Source organism: Homo sapiens, chromosome 22 (assembly GCF_000001405.40).
Source record: "Homo sapiens chromosome 22, GRCh38.p14 Primary Assembly".
Classification (NCBI taxonomy): domain Eukaryota; kingdom Metazoa; phylum Chordata; class Mammalia; order Primates; family Hominidae; genus Homo; species Homo sapiens.
The window spans coordinates 41,735,698-41,763,575 of record NC_000022.11 but is presented as its reverse complement, the minus strand read 5'-3'; the positions used below and the strand labels follow the sequence as shown (position 1 = coordinate 41,763,575).

The 27,878-nt window shown below is 46.7% G+C and overlaps 1 protein-coding gene across 30 annotated transcripts in view, besides 2 other annotated features; it reads right to left on the bottom strand.

The window, feature by feature from the left end:
• Nucleotides 1-27,878, bottom strand: part of MEI1 (meiotic double-stranded break formation protein 1) — a 99,952-nt gene that overhangs the window by 35,879 nt on the left and 36,195 nt on the right. For 23 of the 30 annotated variants that reach the window (XR_937820.2, XR_937819.2, XR_007067959.1 and 20 more), the window contains 8 exons: nt 20,382-20,496; nt 18,512-18,603; nt 17,550-17,691; nt 15,358-15,469; nt 10,925-10,985; nt 9,530-9,627; nt 5,043-5,211; nt 255-402 (listed from right to left, as the gene is read on the bottom strand). Coding sequence is in view for 27 of the 30 variants with exons in the window: in XM_011529945.4 (XP_011528247.1) it covers nt 255-402; nt 5,043-5,211; nt 9,530-9,627; nt 10,925-10,985; nt 15,358-15,469; nt 17,550-17,691; nt 18,512-18,603; nt 20,382-20,496 (937 nt within the window). In the remaining 3 variants the exon portion in view is untranslated. Of the gene's footprint in view, nt 1-254; nt 403-5,028; nt 5,212-8,189; nt 8,219-9,529; nt 9,628-10,924; nt 10,986-12,171; nt 12,349-15,357; nt 15,470-17,549; nt 17,692-18,511; nt 18,630-20,381; nt 20,497-27,878 lie in introns of those variants that run through there. The other 7 variants (XM_011529947.3, XM_047441161.1, XM_011529935.3 and 4 more) reach the window with 6 other exon arrangements.
• Nucleotides 10,753-10,962: an enhancer, noted in NCBI's record as "active region_19130". NCBI's record gives its function as "activates an Ori minimal core promoter by ATAC-STARR-seq in GM12878 lymphoblastoid cells {active_cell/tissue: GM12878}" and the evidence as "EXISTENCE:reporter gene assay evidence [ECO:0000049][PMID:35858748]".
• Nucleotides 16,291-16,340: an enhancer, noted in NCBI's record as "active region_19129". NCBI's record gives its function as "activates an Ori minimal core promoter by ATAC-STARR-seq in GM12878 lymphoblastoid cells {active_cell/tissue: GM12878}" and the evidence as "EXISTENCE:reporter gene assay evidence [ECO:0000049][PMID:35858748]".

Here is a 27,878-nt window from a genome sequence, read left to right as displayed (position 1 = left end):
GCCCAGCCTCAGTCCCGATTTTCTTATCTGTAGAATGCAAATAATCTCTTCCTCCCAGGAAGGCTGAGATAATTAGGTAAATTATACAGGCTCTGTATGAGTCTGCATCCTACTCCTCTCCACACTCCTAACACCTCCGCTTTGTCTCTCTCTACCACCCGCTTGTCTATACACTATCATCATCATGGTCTCCCAGGGAACACTAATGTAAAGAGGTACAGAAGGACAAGGAGCCCAGGCATTGTGGTCCATACCTCACGTAGTGTATTGTCTTTGTCCTGGCAGATTGCAAGCAGATAGATGGAGGCTTTGAAGACCACCAGTGGGGGGCGCTCGCCCTGGTCCTGCAGCGACAGGAGGAAGCTTTGCACAGCCTCAAATAACTCTGCCTCTGAGACAAACCTGTCAACCAAGAAAAGCCTGAGTGAGAAAGGCAGAGTTGGCAGGCCACTGGGCTCTTCTATTCTGCCTGGCCGCATCCTTCCTCAGCCCACTGTCCTGCCCCAATATGCCCACAGCCTAATGACATCTTAGACAAACAGTGTGCTATACATACTTACAAAGCACTGCCATATATATACATCACATTGTTCTGTGCCTTGTGCAAGGCTCAGTTAGGGGCCAAATACTCCTCATTCACACTTGGGAGGTGAGCTATCTGCCAGCTGGACCAGCAGTGTTAAAGAGAAGGGTGCTACTGCTGGGGTTCAGAAGGCCCTGCTCTGGCAGCTGCTCCACCCCTCTCTTCTTGTATTTATCATTAAACAGTGGTGTATTTAACAGATATAACACCAAAAGCATAAATGACAAAAGAAAAAAATGGATAAATTAGAGGTCATCAAAATTAAAAACATTTGTGCTTAAAAGATACCACTAAGAAAGTGAAAACGGCCAGGTGTGATGGCTCATGCCTAGAGTCCCAGCACTCTGGGAGGCTGTGGTGGGAGAACTGCTTGAGGCCAGGAGTTCGAGACCAGCCTAGGCAACATAGTCAGACCTCTTCTCTACAAAAAAAAAAAAAAAAATCAGTTAAATTAGCTGGTTGTGTAGACGCATGCCTATAGTCCCAGCTACATGGGAGGCTGAGATGGGAGGATCGCTGGAGCCCAGGAGGTTGAGGCTGCAGCGAGCCATGATTGTGCTACTGCAATTCAGCCTGGGTAAGAGAGCAAGATACAAAAGGAAAGGAGAGGAAGGGGGAAGGGGAAGGTAAGGAAAAAGGGAGGGTAGAGTAGGGGAGGGGAAGTAAGAGGAAGGGAGGTGAAGGGAGGGGAGGGAAAAGAGGAAAGGACAGGATAGGACAGGACAGGAATGGAAAGGAAAGGAAGAAAGAAAGAAAAGAAAGCGAAAAGACAGCAAACAGGAGGCCAGGTGCAGTGGCTCACGCCTGTAATGGTAGCATTTGAGGAGGCCAAGGTGAGAGGATTGAGAATATACCCAAAAAGAATTAAAAACACTACTCAAACAAATACATGTACACACATGTTTACAACAGCACTATTCACAATAGCCAAAAGGTGGATAGGCCCAAATGTCCACCAATAGGTGAATAAAAGCAAATTATGGTGTATACATACAAAGGTATATTAATCAGCCATAAAAGGAATGAAGTACTGATACACGGTACAAACATTATGCTCACTGGATGGACTTCTAAAATGATATGCTAAGTGGAAGAAGCCAGACACAAAAAGTCACACACTGTATGATTCCATCTATGTGAAATATTCAGAATAGGTAACTCCAAAGAGACAGAACAGATTGTTGATTGCCAGGAGCTGGGGAGGAGGAACGGAAGTGACAGCTTTGCAGTGATGGAAATGTTCTAGAACTAGATGAAGGTGGTGGTTGTGCATTTTAAAGGTACTATTAAATACCACTGAATTGTTCACTTTAAAATGGTCAAGCTTATGTTGTGTAAATTTTACCTTAATAATTTTTTTTTTCTTTTAAGACTGAGTCGGCCGGGCGCAGTGGCTCACGCCTGTAATCCCAGCACTTTGGGAGGCCGAGGCGGGCAGATCACGAGGTCAGGAGATCCAGACCATCCTGGCTAACACAGTGAAACTCCGTCTATACTAAAAATACAAAAAATTAGCCGGGCGTGGTAGCGGGCACCTGAATTTCCAGCTACTCAGGAGGCTGAGGCAGGAGAATGGCGTGAACCCGGGAGGCAGAGCTTGCAGTGAGCCGAGATTGGGCCACTGCACTCCAGCCTGGGCGACAGAGTGAGTCTCCGTCTCAAAAAAAAAAAAACAAAAAAAAAACACTGAGTCTCACTCTGTCGCCCAAGCTGGAGTGCAATGGCACAATATCAGCTCATTGCAACCTCTGCCTTCCAAGTTCAAGTGATTCTCCTGCCTCAGCCTCCCCAGTAGCTGGGATTACAGACGCTCGCCACCACACTCAGCTAATTTTGTATTTTTAGTAGAGACTGGGTTTCACCATGTTGGTCATGTTGGTCTTGAACTCCTGAACTCAGGTGATCCACCTACCTCAGCCTTCCAAAGTGCTGAGATTACAGGTGTAAGCCACCGCACCCGTGAGGGAAGAGACAGACCCTCTCATATTGTTTTATATTGTTTTCTACTCAGTACCTGTTTTAAGAAAAAAAACAAAGAAGTGAAATCAAAGCCAGGCAGCCCGGCGCCAGGCCCAAAACCAGGCCTGGGCCTGCCTGGCTTAAACCTAGCGGTTAAAAATCAACTCATGACTTAGAACCCGATGTTACACATATATTTCAGGCATTGTATGGAAGAACACTGTGAAACTCCCTGCTCTGTTCTGTTTCACTCTGACCGCCGGTGCATGCAGCCCCTGCCACGTACCCCTTGCTTGCTCAAATCAATCACGACCCTTTCATGTGAAATCTTTAGTGCTGTGAGCCCTTGAAAGGGACAGAAATTGTGCACTTGGAGAGCTCAGATTTTAAGGCAGTAGCTTGCCAATGCTCCCAGCTGAATAAAGCCCTTCCTTCTACAATTCGGTGTCTGAGAGGTTCTGTCTACGGCTCGTCCTACTACACCCAGCCAATAAATTATTATTATTAATTAATTATTTATTTTTTGAGACAGAGTATCACTCCGTCACCGAGGCTGGAGTGCAGTGGCACGATCTCAGCTCACTGCAACCTCCGCCTCCCGGGTTCAAGCAATTCTCCTGTCTAAGCCTCCCCAGTAGCTGGGACTACAGGCGCCTGCCACCACGCCCGGATGATTTTTGTATTTTCATTTTTATTTTTTTTATTCTTTTTTTTATTTTTTTTTGAGACAGAGTCTCTCTCTGTCGCCCAGGCTGGAGTGCAGTGGCGCGATCTCAGCTCACTGCAAGCTCTGCCTCCCAGGTTCACGCCATTCTCCTGCCTCAGCCTCCCGAGTAGCTGGGACTACAGGCACCCACCACCACGCCCGGCTAATTTTTTTGTATTTTTAGTAGAGACGGGGTTTCACCGTGTTAGCCATGATGGTCTCGATCTCCTGACCTCGTAATCCACCCATCTCGGCCTCCCAAAGAGCTGGGATTACAGGAGTGAGCCACTGCACCCGGCCTGATTTTTGTATTTTTAGTAGAGATGGGGTTTCACCTTGTTGGTCAGGCTGGTCTCAAACTCCTGACCTCAGGTGATCCACCCGCCTCGGCCTCCCAAAGTGCTGGGATTACAGATGTGAGCCACCGTACCCGGCCCAATAAATTATTTCTTACGGCTTAAGAAAGAACAGTCCTTTTATTTTTATATCCTTTTTGAGATGGAGTCTCACTCACTCTGACACCCAGGCTGGAGTGCAGTGGCATGAGCTTGGCTCACTCCAACCTCCACCTCCTGGGTTCAAGCAATTCTCCTGTCTCAGCCTCCCGAGTAGCTGGGACTACAGGCGCCTGCCACCATGCCCGGCTGATTTTTGTATTTTTATTTTTATTTATTTATTTATTTATTTATTTATTTTTTGAGACGGAGTCTCGCTCTGTCGCCCAGGCTGGAGTGCAGTGGCACGATCTCGGCTCACTGAGAGCTCTGCCTCCCGGGTTCACACCATTCTCCTGCCTCAGCCTCCCGAGTAGCTGGGACTACAGGCACCCACCACCATGCCCAGCTAATTTTTTTGTATTTTTAGTAGAGACGGGGTTTTACCTTGTTAGCCATGATGGTCTCGATCTCCTGACCTCGTGATCTGCCCATCTCGGCCTCCCAAAGAGCTGGGATTACAGGAGTAAGCCACCGCGCCCGGCCTGATTTTTGTATTTTTAGTAGAGACAGGGTTTCACCTTGTTGGTCAGGCTGGTCTCAAACTCCTGACCTCAGGTGATCCACCCGCCTCGGCCTCCCAAAGTGCTGGGATTACAGGTGTGAGCCACTGCACCCGGCCCAACAAATTATTTCTTACAGCTTAAGAAAGAACAGCCCTTTTATTTTTATTTTTATATCCTTTTTGAAATGGAGTCTCACTCACTCTGTCACCCAGGCTGGAGTGCAGTGGCACAATCTTGGCTCACTGCAACCTCTGTCTCCTGGGTTCAAGCAATTCTCCTGTCTCAGCCTCCAGAGTAGCTGGGATTACAGGTGTGCAACACCATGCCCGGCTAATTTTTGTATGTTTTGTGGAGACAGGGTTTCGCCATGTTGGCCAGGCTGGTCTCGAACTCCTGACCTCAACTGATCAGCCCACCTTGGCCTCCCAAAGCATTGGGATTACAGGCGTGAGCCACCATGCCCAGCCATGATTTTAAAAATGTAATAAATTGAACAGTAATGATTAAAACCAAAGTAACCTACTGAAGTTTTTTTCTGTGGACAAACAACACCCTCAAGGATAGCAAGGAATACTCACTGGCTTTCTAGGCCTCTGTCTCTCAGCACAGTGTCTACCCACCTGTTCTAACCCACTTCTAAGATATGAGCCTCTCAGGGACACAACCCATTTCTTACTTATCCCCGTGTCCCCAGTGCCCAGCATCAGGCTTGGAGAGATGCCCTTATTTATTGAACTGAACTGCTGATGAAGGTCCCAAGACCCACCACCAGCCACCCACCTCTGTGCACTGACCTGTCTTCATGGATGTAGGCCAAGTAGAAGAGGAGCAGGATGCAGTACTGTCTCTGGCGAGCAGCTCCCTCCATGTACTGGCGATCAGACAGGAAGGCAAGGCTTTCAGGGCTCCTGCTGCTTATCTGGGGCAGCCCATGCTGCAGGAGCTCAGACACTGCAGAGAGTTCTAGGGAGGGAATAAGTAGAGGAAAGCCACACAGAGAACATAGAAGAACAGGTAATCAGCACATTAGTACCTACTACATGCAGAGTACTGCACAGGGCAGCAAGGGTAAATGCAGTATAGTGGGAAATAAGGAAATCAGAGGCTCCTCTTCCTTTGAGCAAGGTTCAACCTACCGGGAAAGACTAAACTTCACAAGCAGAAGGACATGGATATGTCTCAAAAATTAACGTTCATTCCTTTTTTGTTTTGTTTTTCTTTTGACAGAGTCTCGCTCTGTTGCCCATGCTGGAGTGCAATGGCATGATCTCGGCTCACTGCAACCTCCCCGTTCTGGGTTCAAGCAATTCTCCTGCCTCAGCCTCCCAAGTAGCTGTGATTACAGGCACCCACCACCACGCCCAGCTAATTTTTTGTATTTTTAGTAGAGGCAGGGTTTTGCCATGTTGGCCAGGCTGGTCTCAAACTCCTGACCTCAGGTGATTCACCCACCTTGGCCTCCCAAAAACATTCATTCTTTCATTCATTTGACATATGTTCATTGAGTGGCTACTACTCAGGACAGGCTGTGAGACCCAGGCCCTACCTCCAGGAACTGGCAGCTGATGGGAAGAGACACATAATGAGACAGGCAATTGCAGGACATGTGATCAGCGCTATATTGAGGAGGGAGTGACTCAGGCTGCCTGGCATGGGGAAGGAAAGGTCAAAGAGGAAGAAACTGTGGGCCAGGCTGTAATCCCAGCACTTTGGGAGGCTGAGGAGGGTATATCACCTGAGGTCAGGAGTTCAAGACCAGCTTGGCCAACATAGTGAAACCCCGTCCCTACAAAAATACAAAAATTAGCCGGCTATGATGGCGGGCGCCTGTAATCCCAGCTACTTGGGAGGCTGAGGTGGGAGAATCGCTTGAACCTGGGAGGCAGAGGTTGCAGTGAGCTGAGATGGCACCATTGCACTCCAGCCTGAATGACAAGCGCGAAACTCCATCTCAGAAAAAAGAAAGCAAGCTTTGGGAGGCCGAGGCTGGCGGATCACGAGGTCACGAGATCAAGACCATCCTGGCTAACACGGTGAAAACCCGTCTCTACTAAAAATACAAAAAAATAGCCAGGCGAGGTGGCGGGCCCCTGTAGTCCCAGCTACTTGGGAGGCTGAGGCAGGAGAATGGCGTGAACCCAGAAGGCGGAGCCTGCAGTGAGCCGAGATCATGTCACTGCACTCCAGCATGGGCGACAGAGCGAGACTCCGTCTCAAAAAAAGAAAGAAAGAAAGAAACAAACTGTGGAGGGTGAGGAGAAAAGAGGCAGCGACAGGAGAAAAGAGAAAAGGAAGCAAGGTGTTCAGAGGCCTGAAGGCATGAGAAGACATGCCATGTTTCCATTCAGTGTCACTGGATAGTCAGTGAATAGATGTGGGGTGTCAGAAGCTGGGGAACTATGTGATGTAATCTGCAGTTGGACTGTGAAAGACCTTTAAGCAAATGCCACTTAAGGAATTGGGACTTCATCCTGAGGGCAGAGACTTCTAGATTTCTTACGAAAACGGTTTCATAAAAGAAAGAATATTTTAATACCAAAAGAACAGGAAAGAAGGATAGGCGTGGTGGCTCAAGCCGGTAATGCCAGCACTTTGGGAAACCAAGGCAGGTGGATCACCTGAGGTCAGGAGTTCGAGACCAGCCTGGCCAACATGGCAAAACCCTGTCTCTATTAAAAATACAAAAATTAGACAAGCGTGGTGGCAAGTGCCTGTAGTCCTAGCTACTCAGGAAGCTGACGCAGGAGAATTGCTTGAACCCGGGAGGTGGAGGTTGCAATGAGCCGAGATCACGCCACTGCACTCCAGCCTGGGCAACAGAACAAGACGCTGTCCCAAAACAAAAAAAAAGGAAAGAAAAAGACTGACTTCAGAGTTTAAAATTTGAATAAAGGCCAGGTGCGGTGGCTCACACCTGTAATCCTAGCACTTTGGAGTCCAAGGCAGGTAGATTGTTTGAGGCCAGGAGTTCAAGACCAGCCTGGCCAACATGGCAAAACCCCATCTCTACTAAAAATACAAAAAAATCACCTGGGCATGGTGACATATGCTTGTAGTCCCAGCTATTCGTGAGGCTGAGACACAAGAATCACTTGAATCTGGGAGGTGGAGGTTGCAGTGAGCTGACATCACTCAACTCCAGCCTGGGCAACAGACTGAGACTCTGCCTCAAAAAACAAAACAAACAAAAAAACCTAAATAAAGTCAACTTTATCCTTATGTTCCACATTTCACCATGGACCAGAGAAAACTTCATCACTATTTGACACTACTCCACAGACTGATGTGTGGAGACCACAGCTGAAAGCCAGGGGAGTTAAGATGTTAAGACTTTGTTTTCAGATAATCCTTCCAGCAGTGAGTGGATGAGAGATTGAAAGACAGGACCTCAGTTGAAGGTCAACCGAAAGAATCCATCCTGCCAGGGCCAAGTCCTGGGCAAGCAGAGGGTGAGGATAGCGCATGTCCCACAGCAATTTGGTAGCAGAGCCAGGTCAGCTCTCCTAATTCCAAGTTCAGTGCTTGTCCACCAAAGCATGCTCTCATCAATATAATAATAATGAAACAAATATCCTTCAGCCACACACATCCACCTGCCTTTCTCCTGATATATAAAAGAAAGCAGTCTGAATGTTATGAGAGATGTGCTGCATTTCCTGGCACAATGAGATTTAAGAAGCCCCAGTGTTTAAGGCAGGAGATGTGTGGGGCTCCCCTTGGTTTGACAAGCAAGGGAACTGCCAGAAGCAGTGGAGCAGGCACTTATGAGCATGAGAGGTGATGGTGATGTGACTGCCAATAGTCTTAGGCTACATGGCAGAAATCATGCTATTCTCTCTGCAGGCCAGATCATGCCTTAACAGGGAGATTGCAGAAAGGAGTAGCCAGCATAGTGAGAGAACCAGTAGCCAAGCTATGTTGGAAGCAATAAAAATGCTCACCTGGGCTTTGCTCCCTCTCAGCATGATGTCTGGGAAAGATAAAAGAGAGCAGCAGGTGTAGAGAGTGGGGGAGAGGACACAGAATCTTCACAAATATAATAAGGGGGAAAAGAGCCAGAACTAGGTCTTACCCACAGAGGTATATTTGTTGAATGAATGATGAAACAATTATTAAACTGTTTTCTATTATATCAGGAGACAGGTCTAAGATAGAGGAACCCCTCAGGGCAAATAACATACTGTTATAATCGCTCTATCCACAGCAGTACCTAGGCCTCCCCTGGCAGGTAGCAGAAGCTCAATGAATGTTCAACAAGAGGAAAAACTTCCAGCTCTCAGCCCTGCAGCTGCTGTTCCTCCTGCCTAGATTCTGCATGGCTTTCCTTTACTTGACTCAGACCTCTGCTCACATACCACTTCCACATGGAGGCCTTCCCTGACCACCCTATCTAACATGTCTCTCTCCTCCTTCTATCACTCTCTATCCTTTTGCCCAGTTTTATTTTCTTCATAGTGCCTATGGATCTCTGACATAGTATGCATTTGCTTATTGCCTGCCTGTTTCAATTTATGACAGCAGGGCTTTGTATCCCTGGCTCTTTCACCAGCACCTGGAATGGAGTCTGACACACAACAGGTGCTCAAGAAACACCTCTTGGCTGGGCACGGTAGCTCACATCTGTAATCTCAGCACTTTGGGAGGCCGAGGCAGATTACCTGAGGTCAGGAGTTTGAAACCAGCATGGCCAACATGGTGAAGGCCCGTCTCTACTAAAAATGCAAAAATTAGCCAGGCGTGGTGGCAGGAGCCTGTAATCCCAGCTACTTGGGAGGCTGAGGCAGGAGACTCACTTGAACCTGGAAGGCAGAGGTTGCAGTGAGCTGAGATCATGCCACTGCACTCCAGCCTGGGCAACAGAGCGAGACTGTCTTAAAATAAAAGAAAAACAAAAAGAAAAAGAAAAAGAAAAAAGAAACACTACTTGAATGAATGAAGAAATAGAACACACTATTAATGCTATAGTGAACACTGGACTCCTGAGGCCTATGGTATGGGGATGTTGCAGAGGAGACTGTCAGGAAGAAGGAACTGGACTTGATGAACATTAGGATCCTTCTCAACTCTAAGGTGCCAGGAGCCTTGGGTTCCATCATTTTCCAGTTCTATTACTTCATATCCCTAGGAATCAACCTATAATTGCATCACTCCGATTCCTCTGGGCAGCCTCAGGCAAAGAAATCTCGTGGCTGTACTAACTCACTATCTAGTCAATCAGCAAGGCACCCAGACTCTAAAGACCAGCACAGGCCACATGAGTGGTCAAATTGTAGCATCTTACCTTCTTTGGAAGGTGGTCCTGTCTTCTCTGGAGCTGAGAGAAGGTTGAGGCACATATAGTAGAGGAAATTGGAACACACCTGGTTTAGGGCTGAGTGACTTAGAGGGAGAAGAAGAAAGAATAGAAGAGATGACATTGCTACTTTGGCTGGGAGAGCATTATCCCTGCCATATGCCTGGGCACCACTGCTTTGTGCCAGAGGCTAGTGAAATTCTAGCCATGGCCGTGGCAGAGGAGGTCTTAAGGTGGCTATGAAAAGTAAATATGGGGCTGGGCACAGTGGCTTATGCCTGTAATTCTAGCACTTTGGGAGGCTGAGGCTGGTGGATCACCTGAGGTCAGGAGTTCTAGACCAGCCTGACCAACATGGTGAAACCCTGTCTCTACTAAAAATACAAAATTAGCCTGGCGTGGTGGCACACACCTGTAATCCTAGCTACTCAGGAAGCTGAGGCAGGAGAATCACTTGAACTCAGAAGGCGGAGGAAACCCGGCCAGTTTCCTCATTTAAATAAGAGGTTAAACAAATGATCTCTGAAAGCGTTTTTTGGGGCTTTTTGTGTTTTTTTAGAAACAAGGTCTCACTCTGTCGTCCAGGCTAGAGTGGGATGCGATCATAGCTCACTGCTGCTTTGACCTCATAAGCTCAAGGATCCTCTCGCCTCAGCCTCCTGAGTATCTGGGACTAAAGGTGTGTTACCACCAGGTCTGGCTAATTAAAAAAAAAACAACACAAAACTTTTGTGGCCAGCCACGGTGGCTCACGCCTGTAATCCCAGCACTCTGGGAGGCCAAGGCGGGCGGATCACCTCAAGTCAGGAGTTTGAGACCAGTCTGGCCATCTCTACTAAAAACACAAAAATTAGCCAGGAATGGTGGCAAGCACCTGTAATCCCAGCTATTCAGGTGCTGAGGCAGGAGAATTGCTTGAACCCAGGAGGCGGTTGTTGCAGTGAGCCAAGATTGTACCACTGCACTCCAGCCTGGGTGACAGAGCAAGACTCCATCTCAAAAAAAAAAAAAAAATTGTAGAGACCAGGGTCTTGCTATGCTGCCCAAGTTGATCTTGAACTGCTGGCTTCAAGCAATCCTCCCATCTTGGCCTCCCAAAGTGCTGGGATTACAGCCATGAGCCACTGCACCAGGCCTCTCCCAGTTTTGATGTGACAGGTACCCATCCAAGTATCACCAGGAATAAGATCCTTACCACGTTAGATTCAATACAACCTACAGAAGCATGACCAGCTTATTGCACCAGATGCTGAGCAATGCTGACACTATGTCAACACCACCATGAGCCCATGACTAAAACACACCAGCCAACAATTCCCACTTGTCCCATCAAGAGGGACATTGGCCCCTTGGCCACTCAATCTTGCCTGGGACCACACATACCTCAGACCACTGCAAAACCTGGCCTTCAGCTCCAGGGTCAGTCGTATGAAGGATGAGGAAGCTTCAGAGAAGTGGGAATAAAGCAGAGAGCAGTTTAAACCAGACTTGTCACAGAGAGTCCCAAGCCTGGGTGGTATCAAAAAGCTCTGGTTTCAGAGTTACACAGACTTGGTTCAAAATGTACTCCACCACTGTCTAGTAGTTTCACTCCGGAAAAGTTTTTTAACTTCTCTGAGACTCAGTTTTGATATTTGTACCTCACAGGGTGTTGTAAAGCTAAGTAAGATAAATGTATGGAGAACATCTAACAAATACTTGGCTCAAAGTAAGTGCTGCAATAAGTGTTCATTTTCTTCCATTCTGAATGATCCTCCACTACAATTTGGTACATTTGACAAGGACCTAGGAAGGGCACATCTGCTCCTTCTATCCCTTCTTTCAGTTTTATAGAAAACAATCCAGTTTCAGATGCAGAAAGAACAGTAGTTACTATTTTATTCTCATCTCTGAATTGTCTGTTGAAAGCAATTGATTCTCAGAACAGAGGTCCAATAACAGTTTCTTTTCTTTTTTTTTTTTTCCTGAGACGGAGCCTCACTCTGTCGCCAGGCTGGAGTGCAGTGGCATGATCTCAGCTCACTGCAACCTCCACCTCCCGGGTTCAAGTGATTCTCCTGCCTCAGCCTCCTGAGTAACTGGGACTACAGGTACGCACCACCATACCCAGCTAATTTTTGTATTTTTAGTAGAGATGGGGTTTCACCATGTTGGCCAGGATGGTCTTGATCTCTTGACCTCATGATCCACCCACCTCGGCCTCCCAAAGTGCTGGGATTACAGGTGTGACCCACTGCGCCTGGCCTTTTTTTTTTTTTTTTTAAGATGGAGTTTCACGCTTGTTGCCCAGACTAGAGTGCAATGGCACGATCTTGGCTCACTGTAACCTCCGCCTCGCAGGTTCAAGCGAGTCTCCTGCCTCAGCCTCCTGAGTAGCTGGGATTACAGCCACGCGCCACCACGCCCAGCTAATTTTGTATTTTTAGTAGAGACAGGGTTTCTATATGTTGGTCAGGCTGGTATCGGACCTCAGGTGATCCGCCCACCTTGGCCTCCCAAAGTGCTGGGATTACAGGCGTGAGCCACTGCACCCAGCCAGCAGTTTCTGCCTTAGCTGTTGACCCTGGCCCAGGCCTTTGTGCTGCTGGCTCCTCCCAGTCTCCCCAGTAAGGCTTTCAGTCAATACTAACCTCTGTTCTGCCTTCCCTGGGCCACTGTAAAAGCAGAATCCTAGATAAAGACGACATCAGAAGCTCCCACTTCACCAGCCCCTGGGTTGGGAATAATCTGTATTTTATCCTGGGGCTAAAGCAGCTGACAGGGAATCCCTCAGGGTTTCACAGCAACTCTCTGGGGCAACAATTTAACCCATGACTTTCCCAGGAAGGGGCACCAAGCTTCCCTTCCAGATGGGCTCCTCTTGGCCCAATCTCTCAGGGATCCAGAGTTTCTCCACCCTCCTACTCCAAGTCTCCATACCATTCCTGGCTGGCAGTGCCTGCTTCCCTCCTCCCTCTTGCAGGTTGAGCCTCTGATCCTGTGCTACCTGGCTTCATGCTACACAGATCTCCCTACAGATCTCACAGCCTTTTTCTACATCCCCTATTCCCCACCACTGCCCCCAAGAGATCTACACTTGCCTCCCATCCAGCGCCCCAAGACTAGATCCTCTTGGGTCCGGAAGTATGGCAGGCAGGAAGAATGTTAGAAGGAAGGAAAGAAGTGTGTATCAGTTATCACAATGGCTGAGGGATGCAGTCTTCAGGAAATCTATATGCATCATCTTGTTTAATTCTCACTATTATCACCATGTTCTAGCTAAGGACACTGGAGATAAGAAAATTAATTTGTACAATCTCAATAAACAAGTAAGAGAGGTGAGAAGAATTCCAACTCACATGGGCTAACAACCAGTCTCTCTACTGCTCCTTCCTATCAGCAGCTAATCAGGTAAGTGTTTCCAATCTTAGGGGGTAGAAAAAATCCTTCCTGATTCCATGTTCCCCTCTACTCACACCCCCATTTCTCACCTTCCCCACACACCAAACTTGTTAAAATAGTTGTGTATCCTGTCTCTACTGCCTCATCTTGCACTCATTCCTTAACTCACTCTGGTCTGGCTTCCATTCCAACCACTCCCACAGAAGCTGCTCCGGCCAATGTGGCCAAAAGCTGCCATGAAGCCAAGTCCAATGGACATTTTTCAATCTTCATCTTACTTGACTTCTGGGATGCCTTTCACACTCCTGACTACTCCCCAATCCACAAAACTCTCTTCATTTGGCTTCCTTAATATCGTACCCTTCTGGTTTCCTTCCTACCTCTCCAAATGCTCGTACCTCTCCTCCTCCTGACCATTAAATGCTCAATTTTGTCTTGGCTTCTTTCATCATTTCATTTTACACCCTCAACTTTGAAGAATCTCACCTGATCCCCACTGAGGAGTCAGCCTCACAAGGACAGGGGTCTGTTTTGTTCACTGCTAGATCTCCAGCCCTAGCCTATATCTTGCATGCAGTAGGTGCCCAATATTTGTTGAATGAATGAAAGGCTGGATGCTGAAGATTTCTATACCTATATCTAAATCCCAGATCTCTCCCTTGTCTTCAGACACAGTCAATTACCCACCTAACATCTTCACTGGAACATCTCACTTTCACCCTGACCCAAACTGACCATACCCTCTACTGACCCCCCCAAACCAGATCCTCCCCCAGTGAGCCTTCTCTCAGTTAAACACACCACCATCCACATAGAAGCCAGCCAGAAGCCAGGCATTACCTTGAACTGTTCCCTCTCTTTCAAGCCCTACATCCAGCTATTCCATGCCCCAACACTACCTTAGTTCCTACCACCAACCTGAGTTAATGCAAGAGGCTGAGATACATGCCTCCAATCTGCCTCCCTCTAACTCATAGTCCACACTGCTCCAAGAAAGATCTTTCTGAAACAGAAATCTGAACATGTTACTCCACTTCTTTAAAACTCAACAAAACTCCTAGGATAAAATCCAAATTCCAGGCCAGGCGTGGTGGCTCACGTCTGTAACCCCAGCACTTTGGGAGGTCAAGGTGGCCAGATCACCTGAAGTGGGGAGTTTGAGACCAGCCTGGCCAACATGGAGAAACCCCATCTCTACTAAAAATACAAAATTAGCCGGGCATGGTGGCACATGCCTGTAATCTCAGCTACTTGGAAGGCTGACTCAGGAGAATCACTTGAACCCGGGAGGCGGAGGTTGCGGTGAGCCGAGATCGTGCCATTGCACTCTAGCCCGGGCAACAAGAGCTAAACTCTGTCTCAAAAAAAAAAAAAGAAAAAAATCCAAATTCCTCACATGGCCAACAAGGGCCTACATGGCTGAGCCCTGGCTGCCTCTCCACAGTAGACTTGTTGCACAACATTTGTTGCATGCCATGTGACAAGAATAAAAGAAAAAACATTAAATTATAATGATAAGAGCCAAATATAGCACAGAGATTAAGAAAGCATGTTCTGGGCGGTCGCTCACGCCTGTAATCCCAGCACTTTGGGAGGCCGAGGCGGGCAGATCACGAGGTCAGGAGATCGAGACCATCCTGGCTAACACGGTGAAACCCCGTCTCTACTAAAAAATACAAAAAAATTAGCCGGGCGTGGTGGCGGGCGCCTGTAGTCCCAGCTAATCAGGACGCTGAAACAGGAGAATGGCATGACCTGGGAGGCGAAGCTGGCAGTGAGCCAAGTTCGTACCACTGCACTCCAGCCTGGGCAACAGGGCGAGACTCAATCTCAGACAAAAAAAAAAAAGCATGTTCTACAGTCAGATTCCCTGGATTTGAATCCTGGGCATACCACTTATAGTGTGACCTTAGGCAAGTTACTTAACCTCTCTGAGATTCAGTTTGCTCATCAGTGGAATGAGTACAATCATAATAGACAATTCCTAGGGTTTTTCTGAGGACTAAATGAGTCCATACATGCAAAGCACTTAAAACAGTCTCACACACTGTAAGAACTTAAATGTTAGTTATTATTAATAATTAGTCGCTAATGTTACTGAAAACTCTCAGCTAATTTTTCTTTAATCTTTTTTTAGAGATGGGGTCTCACTGTATTGTCCAAGCTGGTCTCAAACTCCTAGCCTCAGGTGATCCTCCCATCTTGGTCTCCCAAAGCACTAGGATTACAGGCATGAGCTACCACGCCCAGCCCCTTTAATGACTTTTGATTGCTGCCTGACACTTCCTTTCACTCATCACTGGACAAAGAATAGATACAGATTCTGAATGAATTAGTAAATGTGCACCCACAACTTATCCTCTCTTTGAATACTCTCTGAGCATTGCCTAAGGTGCTTGCCTCCCTCCCAACCTCCACATTTGCCTGCTGCCTACCAAGCTTCTTGGAAAACTTCTCCTTCATGTGGGGAACGATGACAAAGAGGTTATGTAGAATTGAGAGGAAAACTTCCATCAAAGCTGGGTGGGTGGTCTGCTCCAAGTGTCTCTGCAAAGAACCAGGAGAGAGAACACAGCCCACGGGGACTGAGCCTCTGAAGAAAAGGCATCAGAGAAAACTCACATCAAATCTAGCAACTCCTTTCACTTGAAAGACACAACAAAAGCTAGGGAACTTAAAGTCCAAACCTACATCTAAGGCTTGGATCACCTGATAGATTGTACTAGATACTTTATCTCTTTGGGCTTCTGTTCCCAAGACTAAAGTGGGAATAACAAGATATCCCTTCCAGAAACAAATGTGGTCTGGTGTGTAAAAACTGCTTTCTAAACCATAATGCAGAGTGACTCTCATGTTTCTATTACGATAGTAATAATAATAATATAGTTTATAAACTGCCTTCATATTTGTTTTTTTTGGGGGGGTGGGGGTGGGGTTTTTTTTATTCTTTGAGACGGAGTCTTGCTCTGTCACCCAGGCTGGCGATCAGTGGTGCGATCTCGGCTCATTGAAACCTCTGCCTCTCGGGTTCAAGCGATACTCCTGCCTCATCCTCCCAGGTAGCTGGGATTACAGTCATGCGCCATCACGCCCGGCTAATTTTTGTATTTTTAGTAGAGACGGGGTTTCGCCATGTTGGCCAGGCTGGTCTTAAACTCCTGATCTCAAGTGATCCACCTGCCTCAGCCTCCCAAAGTGCTGGAATTACAGGTGTGAGCCACCGCACCCGGCCCGTTATTATTAAGGCTGGTCAAGTAAAGCAGGGGGAATGGAGAAGAAACAAATAAATCTGTAACTGGTTGTGATCAATTAGTTGTAAATACCATTGCACTCAGACCAGCCTTCAGGTAATTCTTCAAGAGTCATGAGGCAGTCTTATGTGGTAAACACAGCTCTGAATTAAAAAAAAAAAAAAAGAAACAGGGTTCTAGTTCAGGCTCTGTACATAGCCACCACAGTGTGCCCTTGGGTAGTCACCTTCTCCCTTCCCTGAGTCTCAGTTCCCTTTCTGTAAACAGCTGGGTCCTCAGAGGCACTGTTCTTGTTGACACCTTTCCTTTCATTTTTAGAGCAAGTTTGGTTGTTTTATTATTATTATTATTATAAAAGTAATATATGCTCATTAAAGAAAATGTGTAAAATACAGAAAAGTAGAAAGAAGGACTAATACAATAATTCTATGATCTACTTCTAGATTTAGCTCTAACACTTCAAAAATCTAGGAGGAAGGCAGGGCAGGTGAGTAAACTGCGATGAGTTGCCCAAGTCTTACTGTTAGTGGGTTAAGTCAGGGCCACAGTCCAGGGTTCCTGACCACTACCTCCTGCAGACTCCAGCTCAATGGCTTCTTCAAGGAAGAGAGCCTCGCTGGTGCAGAGCCAGAGGTGCCTCCCTGCTGCCACCTACTGTTCCCAGTAAATGGTTAGGAGTTGCCCTTTCCCGACTAACAGGGACTCCTCACAGGCTCATAGGATGCCCAAACCTCAAGCAGGAGGTTACTCATCCAAGGTTACCCAGAGTCAGCAGCTCTTGGCCCTGCTCTTCCCACCATCTCAACCTCAAGTCAGCTCAAAATGAAGCTCTTCAGGATCAAGGATCAAGTCTCTCTTCAGAGTGGCCATCTCTCATTTTACAGAACACACATACATGTTCCTTGTTAACACCTGGATCACAGACATTCACTGCTGCTCATTATTAAAGACACAAGAAAAGCTAGGGGACCTGAAGTCATAGGTTCAATCTCAGCACGTTATGGGCTTGCTTTATAACTACAGAAATATGACAAACTTATCTGTAAATTAGGGCAAATTATAGCATCCATCTCCCAGGGTCATTGGGAGAACTAAATCAGATAGTGAATATTAGGCACTTTCCACTCCATAAACTTACCCACTTATTATTTTATTATTACTGCTTTCTATTTTTTCTTAAGATGAACCTGTTAGTTTCATAATCAAACACTACATTTTATTTTTAGAACAAAGGAAAGGTAGCAGCAAGAATTGCACTGCTGAGGCCCCCAGAGAGTTCCTTTGAGCAGTCACTGCCTTATGCCTCTGAGCCTGGCTCGCCTGCACATTCTTCTCTTCCCCAAGCTTCATGTTGCCCGTGGCTCAGGAGAACCCACCATCACCATGGGGATACACAGCGAGTCACAGGCACTGAGAAGAAATTCTGAGAAGGCCTCCAAGGTGTCTTCCTTCTTGGCGCTGGGAGCTGTGAATGGATTCTCCTGGGCTGAAGGCTCACTCTGGAATTCTATAGCCAACCTAAGAAATCAATGTGTGAGTATATCCACTACCACCTATGCAACCTAAAGGTTACAAACAGCTTCCTGGGGGGTGGCGGGGAGTGCCTGTGCTCAGGGTCCAGGGAAAGTATCTCTATTATCAGACTGGGAGAAAATTCAATAGACCACAATGAGGAGAGGACTTGATCCCTGGCTATCTCTCCAGATTCTTGCTCCCTACCCCCTCCCCCAACTATGTGTACTTCTACCCCATTGTGTGTATTTCCCCGAATATGCCATGCTATTTGCTATTTCCCATTCATTTGCCTTTAAATATGCTGCTCTCTCTATCTGGAATACCTTCCCCGGATTCTTGAAAACCCAACAAATCCCACATATATACCAAAAAGCATCTCTTCCCCAAGAGACTGTGAGCTCCTTGAGGGCAGGAGCCATTCTGACTTTTCTTTCTAGCCTCACTGTCTAGCATCAGGCATGGCACACAGTAGATACAACAAACATTTGTTAATGTAAACTGAATTAATTTAGCAACCATTCAGTGAATACCTGTAGTGCTAGGCTAGTTGGGGGGTGGTGGGGAACGAAGGTGAATAAGACACAACCTCATGGCACAGTAGCAAAAACTCCATGAGGAAGGAATCTTTAGAAAGGTCCTACCCCTAGCTGCCTGTCCTCAAGCCTCCTCCACACACCCCCAACCCCTACCCCAGCCAAAGTCCTCTTTGCCATACAGCAGAGTATCAGAAATCAAGTGTTGCCTCTAGAACTTCACCCATTGTCTGAATCCCTTCCACCCCTACCTTCCATGCTATTACTTCATACCTCAGAGGGCCCCTCACCTGCAGGCACTTCTAAATCCCTCCAGAGTGCTGAGGAGGAACTTTCCCCTTTGAAGAATGGCCTTCTCTGAATCTCTACTGGAGGCATGGCCCTGAGGTGGGAAGGAGAGACAGGAACCTAGTGATCAAGTATATGCTGTGTCTCAGTCTATGCTTGGATGACTGTAGACCTCTTCTTCTCACACTGCAGTCTGACATTCCCATACACCTAACTTTCCAAGAGATCTTGGCTATATCCTTGCAAATAGCTCCTTTAAAAAAATCATAGGCCGGGCGCGGTGGCTCACGCCTGTAATCCCAGCACTTTGGGAGGCCGAGGCGGGCGGATCACGAGGTCAAGAGATCGAGACCATCCCGGCTAAAACGGTGAAACCCCGTCTCTACTAAAAATACAAAAAAATTAGCCGGGCGTAGAGGCGGGCGCCTGTAGTCCCAGCTACTTGGGAGGCTGAGGCAGGAGAATGGCGTGAACCCGGGAGGCGGAGCTTGCAGTGAGCCGAGATCCCGCCACTGCACTCCAGCCTGGGCGACAGAGCGAGACTCCGTCTCAAAAAAAAAAAAAAAAAAAAAAAAAAAAAAAAAAATCATAGCAAAGCTGGGCATGGTGGCTCACGCTTGTAATCCCAGCACTTTGGGAGGCCAAGGCAGGCAGATCACAAGGTCAGGAGATCGTAGCCATCCTGGCTAACATAGTGAAACCCCGTCTCTACTAAAAATACAAAAAAAATTAGCCAGGCATGGTGGCGGGCACCTGTAGTCCCAGCTACTAGGGAGGCTGAGGCAGGAGAATTGCTTGAACCCCGGAGGCGAAGGTTGCAGTGAGCCAAAATCGCACCACTGCACTCCAGCCTGGGCAACAGAGCAAGACTCCGTCTCAGAATAAAAAAAAATGGTAGCAGGGGCCCAGCGCAGTGGATCATGCCTGTAATCCCAGAACTTTAGGAGGCCGAGGTGGAGGTCAGGAGTTCGAGACCAGCCTGGCCAACACAGTGAAACCCTGTCTCTACTAAAATTACAAAAATTAGCCAGGTGTGGTGGTGCATGCCTGTAATCCCAGCTACTCGGGAGGCTGAGGCAGGAGAATCACTGGAACCCGGGAGGCGGAGGTTGCAGTGAGTCGAGATCGTGCCACTGCACTCCAGACTGGGGCCACAGAGTAAGACTCCATCTCGGGAAAAAAAAAAATGGTAGCAGTGTTGGAGGGACCCTAACCTACAGTCTCTCTGAACCACAGGAATGACTATTGGTCTATTATATGCAGAAAGCTGTCACAGGCTAGTGGGCATTAGCTTGACTATAATGGCCCTATTAGTTGCTCTAAAACACAAGAAAATCCCCACTCCATCAGGTGTAAAGAGCTTAGTTTCCAAAGTTAATCCTGAAAGACATAATCAACATTCACACTGACAGTGTCTTTCCTGATATCTTAAGTCTACAGGCTATTAAAAGCCAGCAGCTACAACACATGGCACATTGGTCAGATTCTAAGATTCTAGTGAATTCAGACTTAAATAATTTTGTGAGCATGTTTACCCTATCTGCTTATATGATATAAACAGAGAATGTGTGTAATAGACTGGGGTAAAAACACCCTGGAATTTACTGTTCTAGGCTTAGGTACTTTATAGTTTTGGACCTTAGAGAAAAATTATTTAACCCTCGTGGCTTTAGTTTCCCCATCTGTAAAAATGACAATAGTAATCCTTAAGCTTCATAGTTCTGCTATTAGGGAAAAAGCATCTCATTGTAGCCATGTGTGCATGAGAAAAAGTCATGAAATAGCATACAAAAGTAAGGGAATATACTAATTATCTTTCTAAAAACACACTGCAGCATGATCTTCGGAAGCAGCAGGCTGCAGTACACTGACCAGGGGCCTCCTGCTCAGCAAGGTCTGGGAAAACTCCGCACATCGGTTTAGCATGGCTTCTAGCAAAGCCTGCAGTTCCCCATACTGCACAGGTGGAGTGCTCTGATGGTCCTTCCTGCATCCAGAGAGACAAAAGCAGGTTCACGGTAAGGCAACGGTATTCCCAAGATAACCCCAGGTTCTCAGGCAATGAGAGGCAGTGCAGTTGGATCAGAACATGGAATCTAATCTGATAAAAATCCTTACTCCAGGCCAGGAATGGTGGCTCACGCCTGTTAATTCCAGCACTTTGGGAGACTGAGATGAGTAGATGTCTTGAGTCCAGGAGATGGAGACCAGCCTGGGCAACATGGTGAAACCCAGTCTCCACAAAAATTAGCCAAGTGTGGTGGCATACACCTGTGATTTCAGTTACTCAAGAGGCAGAGGTGGGAGGATCACCTGAGCCCAAGAAGGTAGAAGCTGCAGTGAGCCGTGATCATACTACTGCAATCCAGCCTGGGTGACAGAACAAGACTTTGTCTCAAAAAAATCCTTACTTCAATGCTTATCTAACTGCACAACTTCTTGTACATTCCTTGCCCTCTCTAACCATCAATTTCCTCATCTATTAAATGAGGCTAATAGTACTCTCCTCATAGACTTATTATGGGGATCAAATTCGATAATGTATGCCAAACACTTAGCATGATGCTTAATACGTAATAAGTCCTTATAAATGTCAGCTGTGTCTATTATTACTATTAAGGATACAAGGTTTTCTCGCAGAGGAGAGCCTGCTGGTAAAAGAAGCACTACCTAGAATTGAACGTGCATCAAGAGAGTGACAGCTACTGTTTTCCAATAAGTAATAAGCTCTTCTGGGGAAGAGGGATCAAACTTTGTTAACTCAACGAGGAAAACCAGGATCAACAGGTAAATGTTACTAAGATCCAGAGATGGAGTCTCACTCTGTCACCCAGGCTGGAGTGCAGTGGTGTGATCTTGGCTCCCTGCAACCTCCATCTCCCAGATCCAAGCAATTCTCCTGCCTCAGCCACCTGAGTAACTGGGACTACAGGCGCACACCACTACACCCAGCTAAGTTTTGTACTTTTAGTAGAGATGAGATTTCACCATGTTGGCCAGGCTGGTTTCAAACTCCTGACCTCAAGTTATCCACCCACCACAGCTTCCCAAAGTGTGGGATTACAGGCATGAGCCACTGCACCCAGCCTGAGAACTTTCTTTTCTCTTTTTTTTTTTTTTTTTTGAGATGGAGTCTCGCTCTGTCACCAGGCTGGGGTACAGTGGCGCAATCTAAGCTCACTGCAACCTCTGCCTCCCGGGTTTAAGTGATTCTCCTGCCTCAGCCTCCCAAGTAGCTGGGACTACAGGCGCACGCCACCACACCCAGTTAATTTTTGTATTTTTAGTAGAGACGGGGTTTCTTGACCTCATGATCTGCCGCCTCAGCCTCTCAAAGTGCTGGAATTACAAGCGTGAGCCACCACGCCCAGCATCAGCCTGAGAATTTTCTGAGTCAAAGTCTATAGAAGTATTGGGGACCATCTCTAGGGAGAAGTGATTCCCCATTCTATGAGACTATACGCAGAGACTGGAAAAGTACTTTTGGAGATTCAATCATTATGAGTGTGGGGTAAATGTAGACAGGTAACACCTAAGGCCCATTTGAACCCTCAGATTCTATAGACTCAGAAGAGCCAACAGTCATTGACTAGTTTAATTGTGAGTTTCCAAGAGGAAAGGGACCAGTTCCATCTTTTCACTTTACCTAAACAGAGACAGATGCATTGTAAGTTGATGATTAATAGAACAGATGTCAAATGAATGAATGACTATTTCACAGGGTATTGGTTTCTTAGGGCTGCTATAATAAATTACCACAAACTGTGTGGCTTAAAACAACAGAAGTTTATCCTCTCACAGTTCTGGAGGCTAGAAATCTGAAATTGAGGTGTCGTCAGGGCCATGTCCCCTCTAAAGCAAGCTTGTCCCACCCACAGCCCACAGGCCGCATGCAGCCCAGGACAACTTTGAATGCAGCCTGACACAAATTTGTAAACTTTCTTAAAACATTATGATATGAAACCCTGTCTCTACTAAAAATACAAAATTTAGCTGGGCATGGTGGCGCGTGCCTGTAATCCCAGCTACTCGGCAGGCTGAGGCAGGAGAATCGCTTGAACCAGGGAGTTGGAGGTTGCAGCGAGCCAAGATCACATCACAGCACTCCAGCCTGGTGACAGAGCAAGACCCTCATCCCTGAGCCTTTGTTGAGCACTGAGAGCCATCTGTTGGGCCTTCTAACAGGTTCTCAGTCAACTGCATATGGTTACGGCTTGATTTCCCCTTTCCTTCTTCATCTCTGGAAGCTCCAAGTTTGACGATCCTACACGATCATCAAGCCCTAGTTCCACCACCTTTAAATTCTTGGGTTTGTTTTTGTTTTTGTTTTTGTTTTTGAGACAGGGTCTCGCTCTGCTGCCCAGGCTGGAGTGCAGTGGCACAAACACAACTCACAGCAGCCTCAATCTCCTGGGCTCAAGCAATCTTCCTGCCTCAGCCTCTTGAGTAGCCGGGACTACAGGCATACACCAAGCTTGGATAATTTTTGTAGAGATAGCGTTTCCTCAGGTTATCCAGGCTAGTCTCAAATTCCTGAGCTGAAGCGATCCTCCAGCCTCAGCCTCCCAAAGTGCTGGGATTACAGGTGTGAGCCACTATACCCGGCCTCTTTAAATTCTTTTTAGCAGCTCTCACTCTTCATTCTTCCTTCTAGTTGTGCTTTCCAAAGACACTCTGAACCACCCCACCTCAGAGGGACCACGTCAGTAAACATTCTGGGAAGTTAAAGTCAAAAGTAAAATCATCTTTGGCCGGGCGCGGTGGATCACGCCTATAATCCCAGCACTTTGGGAGGCTGAGGCAGGCAGATCACAAGGTCAGGAATTCGATACCAGCCTGGCCAATATGGTGAAAACGCATCTCTACTAAAAATACAAGAAGTATCCAGGCGTGGTGGCGGGCACCTGTAGTCCCAGCTACTCGCGAGGCTAAGGCAGGAGAATCGTTTGAACCTGGGAGGTGGAGGTTGTGGTGAACCGAGATCGAGCCACTGAACTCCAGCCTGAGCAACAGAGCGAGACTCCACCCCCCCCACCAAAAAAAAAGTAAAATAATCCAAGGCTTAATAACCTGCCCCCTATCCATCTCTCTCCACAATTCTGACCCAACAGCTTTCCTGCTTCTCCAGGCAACACCCGCTTCATGTAACCTGCTGGTCAACTGGCTACTGCACCCTGAGCAATCTCTATACTCTCGAACCCAAATGTTTTGCTAATCCAGGTCCTTCCACAAATCTAACTCTCACCCTTCATAGTACAACTGAAATACCACTTCCTGCCCAAAAGGCACTACTGGTCCCCTCTAGCAGTGTCCTGCTGGAAGACTTCCAGCTCAGCATAGATGCCTCTGATTGACATTGCTCTTACTTATGCTTTTGTTACCTTGTTGGTTTACTCATCCCTCCCACTCTAGAATTCATGTCCTAGATTTAGAGATTCAAATTCAGGGAAGGACAAAGGAGGAAAGAAGACAGACTGAAGTCACTGTCACGTAAATGCTATTTTTTGTTTCAATTTTTAGAACCAACCTAGAGTCAAATCACAAAGACTTAAATATAGTTACAGAAGAGACTATAAATATTAACAACTTTCACAATGTAAAATTAAAGGTATAGCTGACTGGCCTTGAGAAGTAGAAGTAGGGAAGAGAGGGGAAAAGAAGAGTTGGGGTGCTGCTAACCACGTAGGAACTCAGGAGACACTGCTTCAAGTTGAGGGAACAAGAAATACCAGTTTTAGGTACATTATTTAAAGGTTAAAAACAAAATATTAAATAGCAAAAATGCCAAGGACATGTAGAGAAGACAAAAAATGTGAGCTAATTAAATATTGATCTTTCTAACTGGCAAGTCAATGAATAATGTCTTAAATTTAAGACGGGAATTACAGGCACTCGCCACCACGCCCAGCTAATTTTTTTTTTTTTTGTATTTTTAGTAGAGACAGGGTTTTGCCATGTTGGCCAGGCTGGTCTTGAACTCCTGACCTCAGGTGATGCACCTGCCTCGGCCTCCCAAAGTGCTGGAATTACAGGCGTGAGCCACCATGCCCAGCCTATTCCTTTTCATGATAAATCCTCTATAATTTATTTATTTATTTTCAAGAGAGGATCTCACTCTGTCACCCAGGCTGGAGTGCAGCGGTGTGATCATAGCTCACTGTAACCTCAAACTCCCAGGCTCAAGTGATCCTCCCGCCTTACCTCCCAAGTAGTTGGGACCATAGGTGCATGCCACCACACCCAGCTAATTTTATTTATTTATTTTATTACTTATTTATTTATTTATTTTTTTTTTTGAGACAGAGTCTTGCTCTGTCACCAAGCTGTAGTGCAGTGGCGTGATCTTGGCTTACTGCAACCTCCAACTCCCTGGTTCAAGTGACTCTCCTGCCTCAGCCTCGCAAGTAACTGGGATTACAGGTATGTGCCACCACGCCCAGCTAATTTTTGTATTTTGGTGTTTTGTTTTGTTTTGTTTTTGAGACAGAGTCTCGCTCTGTTGCCCAGGCTGAAGTGCAGTGGCATGATCTCGGCTCACTGCAACCTCCGCCTCCCAGGTTCAAGCGATTCTCCTGCCTCAGCCTCCTGTGTAGCTGGAATTACAGGCACCCGCCACTGTGCTCAGCTAATTTTTATATTTTTAGTAGAAACGGGGATGAACCACGTTGGTCAGGCTGTTCTCGAACTCCTGACCTCGTGATCCGCCCGCCTCGGCCTCCCAAAGTGCTGGGATTACAGGCATGAGCCACCACACCCAGCCTAATTTTTGTATTTTTAGTAAAGATGGGGTTTCACCATGTTGGCCAGGATGGTCTCAATCTCCTGACATTGTGATCCACCCACCTCGGACTCCCAAAGTGCTGGGATTACAGGCATGAGCCACTGTGCCTGGCCTATTTTATTTTATATTGTTTTGTAGGGATGGGGTGGCGCTATGTTGTCCAGGCTAGTCTCAAACGCTTAGCCTCAAGCGATCCTCCTACCTTGACTTCCCAAAGTGCTGGGATTACAGGCGTGAGCCACCGTGCCCAGCCAATATTTTGTTTTGTATTATTTGAATACATTACTGTGTTAGAAAATTAAAAGAGAAAATATGGTAACAAAATAAAAGTTACTCTATAAATATGGGTTTCCTCGGTTATTATTATTATTTTTTAAGATTTCAAGCACCTTGCTAAGGAATAATTTCCCATTGTGGTGCTAGGATCCCTTAGTCTCACTGTCCATTTTAACATCCTACATTCGCATATTGACTACCTATGAGGAGCCAGAGACAGAGCAGTGAAAAAACTGACAAGGTCCTTTAGCTCCTGGAGCTTATATTTTAGTGGGGGGAGGCGGGGTACAAAACAAATGAATAGGCCAGGTTCAGTGGCTCACGCCTGTAATTCCAGCTATTTGGGAGGCTGAGGCAGAAAAATTGCTTGAACCCAGAAGGCAGAGGTTTCAGTTAGCTAAGATCGCATGACTGCACTCCAGCCTGGGTGACGGAGTGAGACTCTGACCCCTCACCCCCCAGAAAAAAAGAGGCCGGGCGCGGTGGCTCACGCCTGTAATCCCAGCACTTTGGAAGGCCGAGGCAGGCAGATCATGAGGTCAGGAGATCGAGATCATCCTGGCTAACACACTGAAACCCCTTCTCTACTAAAAATATTTTTAAAAATTAGCTGGGCGTGGTGGTGGGCGCCTGTAGTCCCAGCTACTCAGGAGACTGAGGCAGGAGAATGGCGTGAATCCAGGAGGCGGAGCTTGCAGTGAGCCGAGATCGCGCCACTGCACTCCAGCCTGGGCGACAGAGCAAGACTCCGTCTCAAAAAAAAAAAAGAATAAACAATAACTTTCAAATGTTTGATAGGTGCTATAGCAGTCTGATAAGGTCAATTAGGAAAGGAAATTCTGAATGAGACTTGAATGATAAGAAAAACGCAGTCACACAATGATTTAAGGGAATATTATTTTGGGCAGAGTTGGAATAATTAGTGGCAGGAATAAGTTTGATGTGTTCAAGAAACAGAAAGCAGATCAGAGGAATGAACAAGAAGTGACTGAGTACTGTTTGTGGAGCCAGGGACCCAAATCTAATTCTTTAGATCCCAAATTGGGTGTTTTTCTCTATATGCTAGTAGCATGGACAAATTGAGATTGAAGGTTCTGGAATAAAGCACCAGGCAGTTGGAAATGTGGTCTGGAGTTCAGGAAAACACTATAGTGGGCTGAATGGTGGTACCCAAAGATGTCAGGTCCTAATCCCAGGAACCTATGTTATTTTCTACAGTAAAGTTTTCACAGAGAATCCTGAGATAAAGCCATTATCCTGGATTATTCAGGTGGTCCCCTACATCCCATCATAAGTAGCCTTATGAGAGAGAGGCAGCCAGGCATAATGACTCATGCCTGTAATCCCAGTACTTTGAGAGGTCAAAGTGGGAGGATCACTTGAAGCCTGAAGCTCAAGACCAGCCTGGGGAATATAGCAAGATCCCTATCTCTACAAAAAATAAAAAAAAATTTTTTGGCCAGGCGCGGTAGCTCACGCCTGTAATCCCAGCCCTTTGAGAGGCAGAGGCACGCAGATCACAAGGTCAGGAGATCGAGACCATCCTGGCTAACACGGTGAAACCCTGTCTCTACTAAAAATACAAAAACAAAATTAGCCAGGGATGGTGGCAGGCACCTGTAGTCCCAGCCACTCGGGAGGCTGAGGCGGGAGAATGGCGTGAACCCGGGAGGCACAACTTGCAGTGAGCTGAGATCACGCCACTGCACTCCAGCGTGGGAGACAAAGCAAGACTCCGTTTCAAAAAAAAAAAAAGAAAAAGAAAAAAGAAAAAAATTTAAGAAAAGAAAGAGAAAAGGCAGAGGGAGATTATACACATAGAGAAGAGAAGACAATGTAGTCACAGAGGCAGTGATTACAGTGATATGACCTTAAGTCATGGAATGCCCGGAGCCACCAGAAGCTGGAAGAGGCAGGGAAGTGTTCCGTATTAGAAGCTCCAAAGGGAGTGTGGCCCTGCTGACACCTTGATTTCATTTCAGTGATACTGATTTTGGACTTCTGGCCCCCTAGAACCATGAGAAGGTAAATACCTGTTGTTTTCAAGTTTGTGGTAATCTGGTCCTGTAGCAATAGGAAACTAACACAGGCATTTTAGGCAAGAACTATAGATTTGAGCATTATCAACATATAGCTAGTAGCTGAAGCTCTGTGAGTGGCTGAGAGCATTCAAAGAGGAACTACAGTAAGAGAACCAGGGCTAGAGGCTGGAGTTCATAGGTGTTAAAGAGCTGCCAGCTTCTGATTAAAGGTGATGGAGTCAACAGATACAGTTACCTCTGCTACTCCTTACCAAAATGAAAGAGAATTTT